Below are 16,658 nucleotides of genomic sequence, written 5' to 3'. Positions count from 1 at the left end.
TGATGCATCTACAAGCCAGGGACTTCCAAGATTGCCAGAATACCACCAGAGTCTAGGAAGAGACAAGGAAGGATTGTCCCAGAGGTTTCAGAGGGAGTCTGCCAACACCTTGATTTCAGACTTCTAGCCTGCAGAACTGTGAGAATACATTTCTGTTGTTTAAGCCATCCGGTTTGTGGGGGTTGTTTATGCCAGCCCTAGGAAACTAACACGGAAGGAATTCTGCCTTGGGTGGGAAGATGCATGAGATGGATGATCTCTGGACTCACTAGGCTTCCATCTCGGAGCCAGGCAGCAGTGATGGATTTGCCTCAGGCAGCCTTGCAGACCCACTGTGTGTCCATCGAACTCTGCACTGGTGGTCTGCACCCAGGGAGCCAAGCACAAGCTCATCTGAGCTAACTGCAGCACCAGCATCCTGAAACCTCCCTTCACCGTCCAGCCGGTCATGGGCTCAGGGCTCTTTGGCTCCTGGAACTTCAGAGTGATGGAAACTCACAAAGACACCCAAGTCCACCCCTCCCTCACACCGCCAGATTCCAGGCTTAGAGGCGTGGGGGATACCTGGACTCTTTCCCTGCTCTGTGCTCTTTCCGTGTTGTCACAAGAAATAACTCTGTGGTCTACTCATTGTTTTCCAGATAAGCCCCAACCTTCCCACCTGTAGGAATCCCCTTTGCCAGAAATTCCTCACCCCAGCCTCCTCCTCTCAGCCTGCCAAGACGCACTAAGATAGGAGACCACTTCCTTCAGCTGATCTCCTGTCCAGGGGATCTCTGCTTCCCTCCATCCCCAACCCTGCCCGCCACGCAGAATCCTCTGGCCTCACTCCCAGGCAGTCCACCCTTACCTACCACTTGTCATGGGCTACTTTGCAGGGGGCGAATGACATCTTCTTTCACCTCTATTCTTGTTCCTGGTAGTCATTCAATCACCCACAGATATATATTGAGAACCTACCTTATTGCAGAAGTTAAATTGTCAATAAGAATAAAAAGACTATAGTGTTGTTGGGAACATGGATACTTCAGCATTCACTTACAATACAGAGTCCCAAGCAGAAAAATTGGAAAAATACAGGCTGCCCTTGAGGTCAGAGCTGGAGAGAGTGGTGGGGAGCTGTCAGGCAAAGTCCACAAGCCTCCTCCCAGACCTCACTTCTCACCACTGGCCCCTTTCTCTCTGCCCCAGCCACTCTGAATGTCTTGCTTTTTTCTCTGCACTCCAGCTTTATTCCCACAGAGGTTTCGCACGTATTTCCCCCAACCTTGAACATCTGTGTCCCTCCCATTCTTCTTTGTATGACCAGCTCCCTTACTTCCGTGCTCCCTGCGTACCATACCCAAAACAGCACCCTGCCGCTCTCTAGTTCCTTCCCTGCCCCACTGTGCTTCAGAACACTTGCCATTAACATAAATTAGATATGTCATTTGTTGACATGTGCACTGTTTCTTGGCTGTCTCCCTACTAGAATATAGCACATCTTTCAGAATATAGTGGGCACTCAGTCAATCCTGAGCGAATGAATGAGTGAATGAAATGAATGAAGTGACCGCCAAGCTGAGTTGGATGAACAAGGTTCCTGGCTAAGGGAAGCACATTGAAAATGGAAAGAGTGGCACACTCAGGAGAGAAGTTCAATATGGAGGAAAGAGGAGCTGGAAAGTGTGAATGGACCCAAGAGAGAGAAGCAAGGGTCTTCTGAGCCATGCTAAGCTTTTTCCCAGGTCCCTGGGAAGCCGCTGAATGTTTAGGCAGAGAAACTGAGCCATGTACACTGCCTACAGCATAGAGAAAAGGTTGGAAGACAACAAGAGTGCAGACAACCAATTAAGACACAGACATCCGGATGAGAGAAAAAGAGGGCCCAAGCTACAGTCATGGCCGAGGGTCTAAGGAGAAGTAGATGGGTCCTAGAAATACTCAGTAGGGGCCTAGCATGGTGGCTCACACCTATAATCCTAACACTTTGAAAGGCTGAGGCAGGCAGATTGCCTGAGCTCAGGAGTTCAAGACCAGCCTGGACAACATGGTGAAAACCCATCTGTACTAAAAATACAAAAATTTAGCTGGGCGTGGTGGTGAGCACATGTAATCCCAGCTACTCGGGAGGCTGAGGCAGGAGATTCACTTGAACCTGGGAGGTGGAGGTTGCAGTGAGCTGAGATCATGCTACTGCACTATAGCCTGGGCAACAGAGTGAGACTCCGTCTCAAAAAAATAATAATAAAATAAAATAAAAAAGAAAAATAAATATGAAGTAGGTAGAATTATCAGAACTCAAAGGATTGAAAGCCCGTGTGGAATGGCTCACAGGCTGCATGCCACCTTTGATAGTGAGTTCCGTGAAGGCGGGCATTTGTCCGTTCTGAGTCTCCCATGGCTGGTATACTACCTGCTGAATGCATGTCTCGCACTTCTGTTACTTCCCACTCCTTCGATGTGACATAGCCACCTGCACTAAGTGTTTGAGAGCAGGGATTAAAGGGGAGAGAGAGCCTTCTATTTTGGTCTTGTCATTAAACCAGCTGCCTCAAATTATTTTTAGAAAAAGGACAGGTAAAAATAAACGTATAGGACTAGTCACATGTCTATGCAGGAATAATCACACATCTTTGAGAAGGGGAAAGCAGATGTAAGATTTATTTTCAAATAGTAAGGGCCAGCATTTTACAGCTGCAATATCCTTTATTCCTCAGAACAATCTCTCTGGTGTTCGGATTACTAGCTCCATTTTACAAAAGAGAAAGCTGAGGCTATGACAAGCTAAGTAACTTACCCAAGGTCATCCAGCTAGAGACCCAGGATTCACACCCAGCCCTTCTAACTCCAAAGCCTGGTTTCCCTCCACTAGAGTACAATGCTCCTCCCAGATTTCTGAAGTAGACACCGTGGGACGTAGGGGACAAGAAGAACAGTGGATTTAGAGAAGGCCTTACCCTGGAAGTCTCTGCCCTGGTATTTATTTCCAGCACTTTGTGTTCTTTGAGGTTCTGTGATAAAGGTGAGCTCTAGAATGCTCTCTCTGTCCAATCCCATCCTTTCCTTGGCCTATCCTAGCCCTGAAGGAAAGCTCCCATAGAAGGCACTGCCAAGTCCTCCTGTTTCTGTGCGAATGGGAAGCACACCGGCCACCCATGGCTTCCTTGGGGCAGAGAACTGAGAGCTCCAGACTAAGAGGCAGCCCCTTTTCTGGGCATGAACTGCCTGTCCTGCTAGTAGAAATTCCAAACTTGGGACTGACAGTGGCTCTCTCAAGTTCACTGAGAGTGCTGGACCTTTCTGAGAAGCAGGTCCGGTGTCATACTTAGACGGCATACCCTGTGGCTGCAGGCAGCACCACTGCCTCCATGCCCACCCTGCAGCCTAAATGGGTCAATCATACTTAAAAATGCTTCAAATGCATTTATTGAGTTCTTTCTATTCACTAGACTCTATGATAGATGGGAAGCCCTTGAGTTTTTTAAAACTGAACTCCTTTATCATGGGTTGGGTTCCTCACTGACTTGATCAGATTGGTTAATCTAGTAGAGCCCCATTTTCCCTCTGAGACAAATGGAATAATTTTAACATGCATCTAATCTTTATCATCCTTATAAGCATGCAAAGTAATATCTGCACAGTACTTGGCCCATAACAGGCAGTGAATGGTGGTTGTTATTATTATTAATAACTACCAACACATTGGCCACATAGTAGGTGCTCAATAAAAATGTAAGGATTGGAAATTAGGCTCAAAGTGTTCGCTTTAATTCCCCATTTGAATTCCACCCAGAGCAGGGAAGATATGGGAGAAGAAAGGGGAAACCCAACATATTTGGTGTTTGGAAACATGACATCCAAAAATGTCTGTTTTCTTTTCTTTCTTTTTCTTTTTCTTTTTTTTTTTTTTTTTGAGATAGGGTCTTGCTCTGTGGCCCAGGCTGGAGTGCATGGCACAATCTCAGCTTGCTGCAACCTCTGCCGCCCTACAGGCACATGTTACCATGCCTGGCTAATTTTTGTATTTTTAGTAGAGTTGCGGTTTTGGGATGTTGGCCAGGCTAGTGTTGAACTCCTGACCTCAAGTGATCCTTCCTCAGCCTCCCAAAGTGTTGGGATTACAGACGTAAGCCATTGTGCCTGGCCCCAAAAATGTCTGTTTTCTTTCTTTTTTTCTTTTCTTTTCTTTTTTTTTTTTTTTTTGAGACTGAGTCTCACTCTGTCACCCACGCTGGAATGCAGTGGCGCGATCTTGGCTTACTGCAACCTCTGCCTCCTGGGTTCAAGTGATTCTCCTACCTCAGCTCCCCGAGTAGCTGGGATTATAGGCATGCACCACCACGCCTGGCTAATTTTGTATTTTTAGTAGAGACGTGGTTTCTCCATGTTGGTCAGGCTGGTCTCGAACTCCTGACCTCAGGTGATCCGTCTGCCTCAGCTTCCCAAAGTACCGGGATCATAGGTGTGAGCCACTGCACCCAGCCTAAAAATGTGTGTTTTCAAGTCACAACTATTTTCTTTCCTGCAGCTGTCAGGGGATAGAATTACTTAGGAACTGTGGCCAGCTTTTTGAGAGATGAGTTGGTGGAGGAAAGACCTACTTAGATGAAAAAGATAACACACCAGACGAATGGTCCCTCCAGTGCTTATGTCATCTGGCAGAGCCCCCTAAGTTAGGAGGAATTTCCCTTGTACCTGACAATAACATTTTTTCAAAATAAAATATGTTGAGGCTGAGAATTTTATCTTGGCTGAGCTTTGTACCATTAACTCAAGATTAAATGCATCCTGTCCAAATTCTTTTGCTACTTGAAATGGGTCTCAGGCTCGTGGTCTCCAGATGTTGATTCTATATGTGTCCCAAGAAAAGAAGCTAATTGCTCTTTGCGGTAGAAGCATGGAAGTGGGGCTGTGGTGGCTGTCCCGGTGCACTCCTTACGCCCCACTGCAGAGCCAAGGCAGGACTCCCCCAGCCACTGCAGCTTTGCCTGCTGAAGTGCAGAAGGTTGGCGGAGGTTCAGCTGGCTCCCTCCCTTCACACTATGTTTAGCTGAAAGCAGCTGCCATGCGGCCCCTCCAGTGAGGTATCCCAGTCTCACAGTTGACTGATGTGGGGGAACAAAAGCCTAGCCCTTCAGTGCTTCAGTTTGGGACAAAGTGCCACCCCAGCTCCAGAGCTCTCAGCCCTATGAGACTGGCGGAGGCTGTTGCTGTGAGGGCTTCAGAATTGAACTTCTGGCCACACTTACTTTCTGTCTTTTTTCTTTCTTTTTTTTTCGAGACAGAGCCTCGCTCTGTCGCCCAGGCTGGAGTGCAGTGGCGCCATCTCGGCTCACTGTGAACTCCGCCTCCCGGGTTCAAGCGATTCTCCTGCCTCAGCCTCCCAGGTAGCTGGGATTACAGGTGCATGCCACCATGCCTGGCTAGTTTTTGTACTTTTAGTAGACATGGAGCTTCTCCATGTTGGCCAGGCTGGTCTCGAACTCCTGACCTTAAGTGATCCACTCGCCTCAGCCTCCCAAAGTGGTGGGATTACAGGCATGAGCCACCACACCTGGCATATGTTTACTTTCTTCACTCCTCTGCAGGGAATAATTCAGAGGATGTTCCCTATAAACTTACCGCACGTGCATCTCCGGCTCAGAGATGTTGGTGCCAGGAAGGGTTTGAGGAAGCAGACTGTGTATGGGATTTTGAAGTTTGATCACTCATCAGCCAGTTGACCACGAGGACCCCATCCCTTGTGGCAGTGGAGCACTGATTCCCCCAGGCATGCTTTGCAATTGGTAAAACTTCCATGATACACTTGGGTGGAACAGCTATGGAAAGGAATGGACAGGAGGTGCAAGACTTCAGGAGTTTGAAAGGCTGGTGAGGAGGGGCGAACAATGGAGTGAGATGGCTGTTGCTGAGAACCATCAATGCATTTGAGAAAGGCAGTGGAAGGCTGAGAGTGATTAATCACGAAGGTAAAGTGTGACAGCCATAGGACCTCGTTGGTAGCATATAAAGAGGCCATCATCTCTCACAACTGGAGGGCGGAAAAGGCTGAGTATCAGACCCGAGATTGAATTTATAAGAGTTGTGGCACCCCAGAGATGGTCAAATTCTCAACCCTATGCAGTCGGTGATGCCAAGGTCAGGGTCCTTGTGCCAGTGCTGTGAGACTGCAGCACAGTTCAGTGCCTCCCTCCCTCTGCCTAGCCTCGCTGCCTTCACTCCTCACAAGAGCACCCCCACAAGAATCTTCCTGTACCCTAATCTCAATTTCAGAATCAGCTTCTCAAGAACCCCACGTTGGACAGGGCAGACGACCGTACCAACGAGGAGTCATCAGTTCCCCGCCAGCAGGGCTCAGTGTGGGTTTCGATGACTTTTTTAGTTTCGCCTCAGTCTTTGCAGTTACTATTCTCTGCACCTGAAACACTGTTTCTGGTCTTTCCACAGCTCTTCACTCAGGGTTCAGCTCAAATACTGCTTCCTCGAGAACATTCCTTGACCACTTATCCTGAAGTATTCCATGTCATGCCTGCTCAGTTTCGGTATTTCACATGACCCTGTTTTATTTGCTTCACAGCCCTGACAAGCATTTGCAACTATTTGCTCATTTATTTGTTTATTTTACTTTCCATCCCTCCCCCTGGAGGTAAGTTTCATGAAGTCCCAGGCCAGTGTTTAGTGTTGTGCTTGGGAGCTATATAAATATTTTTGAAGGCAAAATAAATAAAAAAATAAAAATTAAAGAAGGAAAAGGAAGGATGGAGAGAAGAAAGGAAAAAGGGGAGAGTACTGGGTTCAAATTCTGACTTTGGGTGGGTCATGGTGGCACACACCTGTAATCCCAGCTACTCAGGAGGCTGAAACAGGAGTATTGTTTGAACCCCGGAGGTGGAGGTTGCAGTGAGCCGAGATTGTGCCACTGTACACCAGCTTGGGTGACAGACCAGGCTCCATCTCAAAATAATAATAATAATAATTCTGACTTTGGTGAACCTGGAAAGATTCTTTGACTTCTCTCACCTTTTGATGCCTTCTATGGGGATCAAAAGGGGATACAAATTCTTTTTGAAATTCAGTGAGAGAATTTGGGCAGAGAGCCCATATTTTGCTTCTTCCCCTGGACACATCTAGAATGTTCTCTTTAGAATAGCACTCAAGTCTTTCTTTCTTCTTACTCACTTTGCCCTTCTTTCACCTCTTGCTTCTCATCTAAAGGGGAGATGTTCAGAAAACTGAAGTTACCAAACAGGAGATGTTTTTGAGAGATTATGTCGTAAGCATGAAAGGCAGCCTGTGAGTCAGAGCAGGAATCTTACCCCAGGCTTCGCTGTTTTGTGTGTTTATACTTATTATTGTTATTGTGTGTGTAGGAGGGGCCGCAGGGGCCTAACCTTACAGTAGTCAGCGGGCACCGGTTCTCCGGAAGCCCAGCTGCTGTCCTGGAATGACTCCTTGGCGGTTTCCCAGGGGAAGGCTGCTTCTTCCAACGCTGTGTGCCAGGAACCTGGCCAGCGGCTCCCGTCTCTGGGATTTTCCATCTTGGTTCCTATCTTCTTTTCAGTCTTGTCCTCCACTTTCTTGAGAATTAGCAATGGGATGGGTTTTGTTCACCTGCATTTATTCACTCATTTATTTTATTCTTTATGAAAGTAATAAATGGTCTTGGAAAGACCCAGGACCAGTACAAATTAAACCGGGGGAAAATAAAGAGTTGAAATCACTGTTTTAATTTGTAGTCATGCTCTCCCAGGACTTTTCCCATACAGTTTCTTAAATTTAGTTTTATCATGTCTAAGGGATATTTACAAATAGTTGAAAAACCAGAGAGTGTTGGCTTTTGACAACAACCAGCAATCTAAGGCCCCAGACTTCCCTCCGGATTCCCACTCCCTAGAGGCAATGGTGATTATTCCCTTCAGCTGTCTCTGCTACTTACCTCCCTCAGTCTAAATACTATGCTTACATTACCATTTCCTCATCTACTACTTTTAGGTTTTTGCGTTTTGACTTCTAGGTGTGGTGGGTGAGATTTTACACGTCTTCCTCTTGCCCTAACAGCTCAGCCTTACACCAATTCCCACTCCATCTTCCCAGATATATTCTATCAATTTGGCTAAACCATCATTACTCACATTTTCATGACTATATTAATATATTTGGAATAGAGCCATTTTTTTGTCCATTACATTTCTTGTCTTATAGAACTTTTTTTGCTTTCTTTGCAATTAATAATTGCCTCATGTTGTTTACTAAGCTTTCTGTGTATCTATCTCTAATTCACCCCCCACCTCTTCAGTAGAACTGTATTTCCTCAGTATTTTTATTTATTTATTTATTTATTTATTTATTTATTTATTTATTTTGCGACAGAGTCTCACTCATTCAGGCTGGAGTACAGTGGCACAATCTTGGCTCACTGCAACCTCTGCCTCCCAGGTTTGAGCGATTCTCCTGTCTCAGCCTCCTGAGTAGCTGGGATTACAGGCATGTGGCACCACACCCGGCTAATTTTTGCATTTTTAATAGAGATGGGGTTTCACCATGTTGGCCAGGCTGGTCTCGAATTCCTGACCTCAAGTGATCCGCCTGCCTCAGCCTCCCAAAGTACTGGGATTACAGGTGAGCCACCCCACCCAGCCTCCTCAGTATTGTAATGAGTGTGCCTTCAAACACAAAAGCCAGCTATGTCTTCCATTTGTTCCTTGGAAATGTCCTCCCTGGAGCACCCCATCCTCCTTCTCCAAACTGGAGCGACTGCTCTCTCATGCCCAGCTGGGCTCTAGGCCTCCTCTCCAACAACTCCAGAAGCATTCTCATGTAAGGGATTTTTTTACTCTTTTTTTTACTCTTTTTATCTTTAACAGCTTATTGAGGTATAATTAACAGACAGCAAACCTCACATGTTAAAATGTACAATCTGATGAATTTTGACACATGCATACATTTGAGTAACCATCACCATCATCAGGATAATGAGCATGTCCATCACCCCCAAAGCTTCCTGTGTCTCTCTCTTTTTTTTTTTTTTTGAGAACGAGTCTCTCTCTGTTGCCCAGGCTGTAGTGCGGTGGTGCCACCTCAGCTCACTGCAACCTCCGCCTCCTGGGTTCAAGCAATTCTCCTGCCTCAGCCTTCCCAGTAGCTGGGATTACAGGCACCCACCACCACACCAGGCTAATTTTTGTATTGTTAGTAGAGACGAGGTTTCACCATGTTGGCCAGGCTGGTCTTGAACTCCTGACTTCAAGGAATCTGCCCGCCTCGGCCTCCCAAAGTTCTGGGATTACACAGGTGAGCCACTGTGCCTGGCCCCTTGTGTCTCTTTGTCATCCCTCTCTTCTGCTTCTCTCCCCATTCCCAGGCTTTCTGTCAATATAAAGTAGTTGGCATTTTCTATAATTTTATTTTTACTTTTTATTTATTTCTTTTCTTTTGAGACAGAGTTTCACTCTTGTTGCCCACACTGAAGTGCAATGGCACAATCTCAGCTCACTGCAGCCTCCACCTCCAGGGTTCAAGCGATTCTCCTGCCTCAGCCTCCCGAGTAGCTGGGATTACAGGCACCCGCCACCACACCCAGCTAATTTTTGTATTTTTAGGGGTTTCACCATGTTGGCCAGGCTGGTCTCGAACTCCTGACCTAGGTTGATCCATCCACCTAAGCCTCTCAAAATGCTGGGATTACAGTCGTGAGTCACAGTGCCCGGCCTAGAGTTTTATATAATGGATTCATACAGTATGTACTTGTTTTGATCTGGCTTCATTTACTCAGTATGTATATATATATATATACATATATAGAGAGTATATATATATATAGAGAGAGAGAGAGATGAGGCCTTGCTATATTTCCTAGGCTGGCCTCGAGCTCTGGGCTCAAGGGATCCTCCCACCTCAGTCTCCTGCGTAGCTGAGAACAGAGGCCTGTGCCACCATGTCCAGCTCTCAGCATAATTATATTGGGATTTATCTGAATTGCCATTTCTTTTTTTTCTTCTCTTTTCTTTTCTTTTCTTTTTTTTTTTTTTTTTTTTTGAGACAGAGTTTCACTCTTGTTGCCCAGGCTGGAGTGCAATGGCGTGGTCTCAGCTCACCACAATCTCCGCCTCCCAGGTTCAAGCGATTCTCCTGCCTCAGCCTCCCGAGTAGCTGGGATTACAGTCATGTGCCACCACGCCTGGCTAATTTTGTATTTTTAGTAGAGACGGGGTTTCTCCATGTTGATCAAGCTGGTCTCAAACTCCCGACCTCAGGTGATCCACCTGCCTCGGCCCCCCAGAGTGCTGGGATTACAGGCATGAGCCACTGCACCCCACCTGCATTGCCATTTCTATCAACAGTTCATGGCGTTTTATTGTGGAGTAGTAGTCTCTTGTTTAGATGTCTTATACTTTGCTTATTCATTCCTATTGAGGACATTTGGGTTGCTTCTATTGTTTGGTTATTACAAATAAAGCTGCTATGAACAGCCATGTAAAATTCATTGTATGGCTATATGCCTTCATTTCTCTTGGATAAATATCTAGGAGCTAGGTCATATAGAGGTGTATTTTCTTATTTTATTTTCTTCTTATTATTTTTTGAGACAGAATCTCACTCTGTCGCCCAGGCTGGAGTGCAGTGGCACAATCTTGGCTCACTGCACCCTCCGCCTCCTGGGTTCAAGCAATTCTTCTGCCTCAGCTCCCCGAGTAGCTAGGATTACAGGCGTGCGCCATTACGCCCAGCTAATTTTTGTATTTTTAGTAGAGACAGGGTTTCACCATGCTGGCCAAGCTGGTCTCGAACCCCTGACTTCAGGTGATTCGCCTGCCTTGGCCTCCCAAAGTGCTGGGATTACAGGCATGAGCCACCACTCCTGGCTATATTGTTGTTTTTTAAGAAACTACCAAATTATCTTCTATATTAGTCTGTTTTCACACTGCTGATAAAGACATACCCAAGACTGGGAAATTTACAAAAGAAAGAGGTTTATTGGACTTACAGTTCCACATGGCTGGGGAGGCCTCACAATCATGGTGGAAGGCGAGGAGGAGCAAGTCACATCTTAGGTGGATGGCAGCAGGCAGAGAGAGAGCTTGTGCAGAAACTCCTGTTTTTAAAAATCATCAGATCTTGTGAGACCCGTTCACTATCACGAGAACAGCATGGGAAAGTCCTGCCCCCATGATTCAGTCATCTCTCACCAGGTCCTTCCCACAACATGTGGGAATTATGGGAACTACAAGATAAGATTTGGGTGGGGACACAGCCCAGCCATTTCATCTTCCAAAATATTTGTACCATATTAGCTTTTCACCAGCAGTGAGTGAGAGTTCCAGTTGTTCCACATGCTTACTAATATTTGGTATGATCAGTCTTTTAAATTTCACGCATTCTATTCAGTGGTGTCTATTGAGGTTTCAGTTTCCATTTTGTAATGACAAACAATGCTGAGCTTATTTTCATGTGCATATTTGCCATCCATATATCTTCTTTATTGTTCATATCTTTTGCTCATTTTATTGTGAAGTTGTTGGTTTTCTTATTATCCAGTTTTGAGAATTCTGTGTATATTGCGAATACAAGTGCTTTATCACATATGTGCTTTGCAAATATTCTCCCCTAGCCTGTGGCTTGTATTTTGTAACAGTGATTTTGAAGAGCAGAACAGAAATTTTTTTTTTTTTTTTTTTTTTTGAGACAAGATCTTGTCCTGTCACCCAGGCTGGAATACTGTGGTGCAATCATAGCTCACTGCAGCCTCAAACTTCTGGGCTCAAGTGATCCTCCCACCTCAGCCTCCTGAGTAGCTGGGAATGCAGGCACATACCACCATACCTGGCTAATTAAAAAAATTTTTTTTAATCTCACTGTATTACTGAAGCTGGTCTGGAACTCCTGGCCTTGAACGATCATCTCAGCCTCCCCAAACTCTGGGATTACAGGCATGAACCATTACACCTGGCTTGAAGAGAAGAGGTTCTTAATATTGAAGAAGTCCATTTATCTGTTTTTGTTTTTTTTCCCCTCATGTATTGTGTTTTTGGTATTGTATCTAAGAGATTGTTGCTTAACTCAAGACCACAAAGATCTTTTTCTATTTTTTTCTTCTAAGTTTTTTGTAGTTCTAGGTTTTACATTTAAGTCTCCAATACATTTTGAGTTAAATTTTGTGTATGGTGTGATGTATGGATCAATGTTCATTTTTTTTGCATATGAATAACCATTATTTTAACACCATTTATTGAAAAGACTATCTTTTTGCCCATGAATTAACTTTGCATGTCTCTTGAAAATCAGCTATCTATATATATGTGGGTCTACCTGTTCTGTCATATTTAACTATTTGTATAGTTTGAGATTATTATCACACTGTCTTAATTTTTATAGCTTTACAAGTCTCAAAGTCAGGCAAGACCAGTTTCCAGCTTTGTTATTTTTCAAAATTACTTTGGTATTTTAAATTTTTAAATTTTCATATTAATTTTAGAATTAACATGTCAATTTTCTTTTTTTGTTTGTTTATCTTTTCTTCTTTGTTTGAGAGAGTCTCACTCTGTCGCCCAGGCTGGAGTGTAGTGGTACAATCTCAGCTCACTGCAACCTCTGCCTCCCAGCTTCAAGCGATTCTCCTGCCTCAGCCACCTGAGTAACTGGGATTGTAGGCATGCGCCACCATGCCTGGCTAATTTTTGTGTGTTTAGTAGAAACGGGGTTTCACCATGTTGGCCAGGCTGGTCTAAAACTCCTGGCCTCAAGTGATCCACCGCCTCGAACTTCCAAAGTGCTGGGATTACAGGAGTGAGCCACCATGCCTGGCCAATATGTTAAATTTCTACCAAAGAAGCTTGCTAGAATTTTATTGAAAGTGTGTTGAGTTTGGAACAATTTAGTGAGAACTGACCTCTTAAGGATATTGGGTCATTCAATCCATGAATATATATTTCTCTCCATGTATTTAAGTCTTCTTTAATTTCTTTCAGCAACATTTTGTAGTTCCCAGTATATAGGTCTTACACATCTCCTGTCAGATTTATCCTTTAGTACTTAATATTTTTGGTGCTATTATTGTAAATGGTATTAATTTTACTTCAATTTCTGACTCTTTATTGTGAGAATCTAGAAATACCACTGATTTTTATATATTTAGTCTTGTGTCCTGCAACTCTGCTAAACTCACTTTATTAACATATGTCTTTATTTCTTTTGAGTAAATGTCCAGGAGTGGAATGTCTGAGTTATACAGTGGTGTAATTTTACCCTCTATATGGTAGTTCTAGTAGCTTTTATGTGGATTCAGAAGAATTTTCTATGTAGATGATCACATCTTCTGTAAATAAACACAGTTTTATTTCTTCCTTTCCAATCTAGATACCTTTTAATACTTCTTGGCTTTATGCAATGGCTTCAACATTCAGTACAAATGTTACATAGAAATGGTGAGAGGGGTCATCATTGCCTTAAATCTGATCGTAAGAAGGAAGCATTCAGTCTTTCCATGATGTTAGTTGTAGAGTTTTTGTAGATACCCTTTATCTGATTGAGGAAGTTTACCAATGTTCCTGGTTTGCTGAGAATTTTTGTCAGAAATAGGGGTCGGGCTTTGTCAAATGCTTTTCCTCCCATCTACTAGAGATAATCATACGCTTTCTTGCTTCATTTTGGTTTGGAGTTTAGTCTGTTGACGTGGTGGATTACATTACTTAATTTTCAAATATGAGAACAAACTTGTATTTCTGGAATAAACTGCGTTGGCTGTTGATGTATTATCCTTTTTATACATTGTTCGATTCAATTTGCTAAAATTTTGTTAACAATTGTTGCATATGTTCATGAAGGAAATTCATCAAATTTTCTGGTAATGCCTTTATCTGGTTTTGATATTATTGAATGCTGGTCTCATAGAATCTGTTAGTAATTATTTTTTCTGACTCAGTTTTCTGGAAGATTTTGTTCATATGTTTCCTTAAAAGTTTGCTGGAACTCACCAGTGAAACCATCTGGGCCTGGAATTTTCTTTGTGGGAAAGTTTTTAACAACAAACTCAATTTATTTAAAAGGCATAATGTCATTATGTTATCCATTTTTTCTTGAGTAAGCTTTGGTAGTTTGTCTTCCTAGAAATCTATCTATTTCATTTAATTTTTCAAATTTATTGGCATAGAATTGCTCATAATATTTCTTTATTATCCTTTTAATACCTAGAGGATCTGTAGTGATGTCACCTCACTCATTGCTGATATTGACTATTTGTGTTTTGTATATTGAAATCAAAATAAAGATGTAGAGCTGAATCTCTAAACTTAATGTTTTATTTGGGAAGAGAAAATTGTAATTTAGGGCATACACACAGACCAGGTGGCCTTTGGTATGTCTGAAGAGCAAAGGCAAGGTTAGAGGTTTTATTAAAAAGAAGAAGAAATGTCACATATTGCTCTTTGAGAAAGTTCATTGCCACTAGTAAAGGTTTGTAAAGTTGGGAAGCCCAAATAGGTGAGCAACAGTGATGGGCAAAATTAGTTCTAGAGTTGCAGCAAATTATCTCAGAAGCTATAGATAAAACTGGTTTTAGGTTACAACAGGCAGTTTCAGCAGCCATACTTACGAGAATTACATTCTCAGAGTAACGTTTTATACCCTGAGTGATTTTCCTCCGGTGGCTTCTTGACTCTGTTTTAGTTGGGAATGACAAGAATAACCCAATTCTTATGATCAACTTTCATATTTATTTTTTCCTCATCATCTGGCTAGAAGTTTATCAATTTTATTGATCTCGAAAAGCCAGCCCTTGGTTTCACTGATTTTCACTATTATTTATATGATTTTCTATTTTATTACATTTTTTTTTTGAGACAGTCTCACTCTGCTGCCCAGGCTGGAGTGTAGTGGGGTGATCTCGGCTCACGGAAACCTCCATCTTCTGGGATCAAGCAATTTCTGACTAATTTTTGTATTTTTAGTAGAGATGGGGTTTCACCATGTTGGCCAGGCTGGTCTTGAACTCCTGACTTCAAGTGATCCACCCACATCGGCCCCCTAAAGTGCTAGGATTACAGGCGTATTTTATTGATTTTTTCTTTGATCTCTCTTTCGTCTACTTTCTTTTCTTCAGTTGTTCTTGTCTTTCTAGTTTCTTAGGGTGAAAGATGAGGTCCTGGATTTGAGACCTTCTTTTTTATTTAATCATTTAGTATTATAAATTTCTAAATACTGCTTTGTTTTCATTTTCTTTTAGTGGAAAATATTTTTAAATTTACTTTGAGACTTCCTCTTTCAATCACAGATTATTCAGAGGTGTGTTATTTAGTTTCCAAATACTTTGGATTTTCTAGCTATCTTTTTACTATTAATTTATAATTTCATTGTGGTCAGAGAATATACTTTGTAAAGACTTGAATTTTTAAAAATATACTGAAGGCCAGGGATGGTGGCTCACTCCTATAATCCCAGCACTTTGGAAGGCCGAGGCAGGCGAATCACCTGAGGTCAGGAGTTCAAGACCAGCCTGGCCAAAATGGTGAAACCCTGTCTCTACTGAAAATACAAAAATTAACCAGGCATGATGGCAGGTGCCTATAATCTCAGCTATTTGGGAGCCTAAGGCAGGAAAATCTCTTGAATCTGGGAGGCAGAGGTTGCAGTGAGCCGAGATGGTACCACTGCACCCCAGCCTGGGTGACAGAGCGAGACTCCCTCACAAAAAAAAAAAAAAAAGTATACTGAGACTTACTTGTTTTATGGCCTAGATTATGGTCTATCTTGATAAATGTTCATGTGCACTTGAAAAGCGTGTATATTCTGCTGTTACTGGGTGGAGTGTTCTATGAATGTCTATTAAGTCAGTTTGGTTGATAGTGTTTTCAAGTCATCTGTATTCACACTAATTATATGTTTTCTTGTTTTATAATTATTGAGAGAGGGTCAGCAAGTTCTCAGACCATAATTGTGGACTTGGCTATTTCTCCTTGCAATTCTATTAGTTTTTGCTTAATTTATTATTTAATTTAATTTAATTATTTCTCTTCCCATCAGAGAGGTAATGTGCCAATGTCTGAACAAGATTTGAGGGAGGCACATCTCACCCATGCACCTGAAAACTCAATCATCATGCTTATGAACTACAAAAGGGTCACTTCGTTTATTTTTTCAATTTCAAAAATTTTTCGAGACAGGGGTCTCACTCTGTCACCCAGGCTGGAGTGCAGTGGCACGATCTCGGTTCACTGCAACCTCTGCCTCCAAGGTTCGAGCAATCCTCCTGCCTCAGCTTCCTGAGTAGCTGGGACTACACGTGTGAGCCACCACACCTGGCTAGTTTTTTTGTATATTTTATAGAGACGGGGTTTCATTATGTTGGCCAGGCTGGTCTCGAACTCCTAGCCTCAAGTGATCCGCCAGCCTTGGCCTCCCAAAGTGCTGGGATTACAGGCATGAGCCACTGTGCTCGGTCACTTTATTTATTTTTAAGCTTGGTTATTAAGGCACATAAGTATTTAGGATGTTGTAACCTCTTGTGTATTGACCTGCTGTATACCCAGTAATATTCTTTGCCTGAAATCTACATGGTTTTGTATTAATATTAATATAACCATTTCATTTACTTTTGATTACAGTTAGCATAGCATATGTACTTCCCTTTTTTTGCTTTTATCTTATTTGTATCTATATATTAAAATAGGTTTCTCATAGGCAGT

At 43.0% G+C, this 16,658-nt stretch overlaps 1 non-coding gene across 1 annotated transcript; it reads right to left on the bottom strand.

Annotated features, from left to right (window-relative positions):
- Positions 1-15,990: 15,990 nt before the first annotated feature.
- On the bottom strand, positions 15,991-16,094 carry LOC124906147 (small nucleolar RNA U13). The gene has a single exon (XR_007088736.1). It is a non-coding gene; the product is annotated as a small nucleolar RNA U13 (small nucleolar RNA).
- Positions 16,095-16,658: the final 564 nt, after the last annotated feature.

Source organism: Homo sapiens, chromosome 2 (genome assembly GCF_000001405.40).
Source record: "Homo sapiens chromosome 2, GRCh38.p14 Primary Assembly".
NCBI lineage: Eukaryota > Metazoa > Chordata > Mammalia > Primates > Hominidae > Homo > Homo sapiens.
This window is presented reverse-complemented; position numbering and strand designations above follow the sequence as displayed.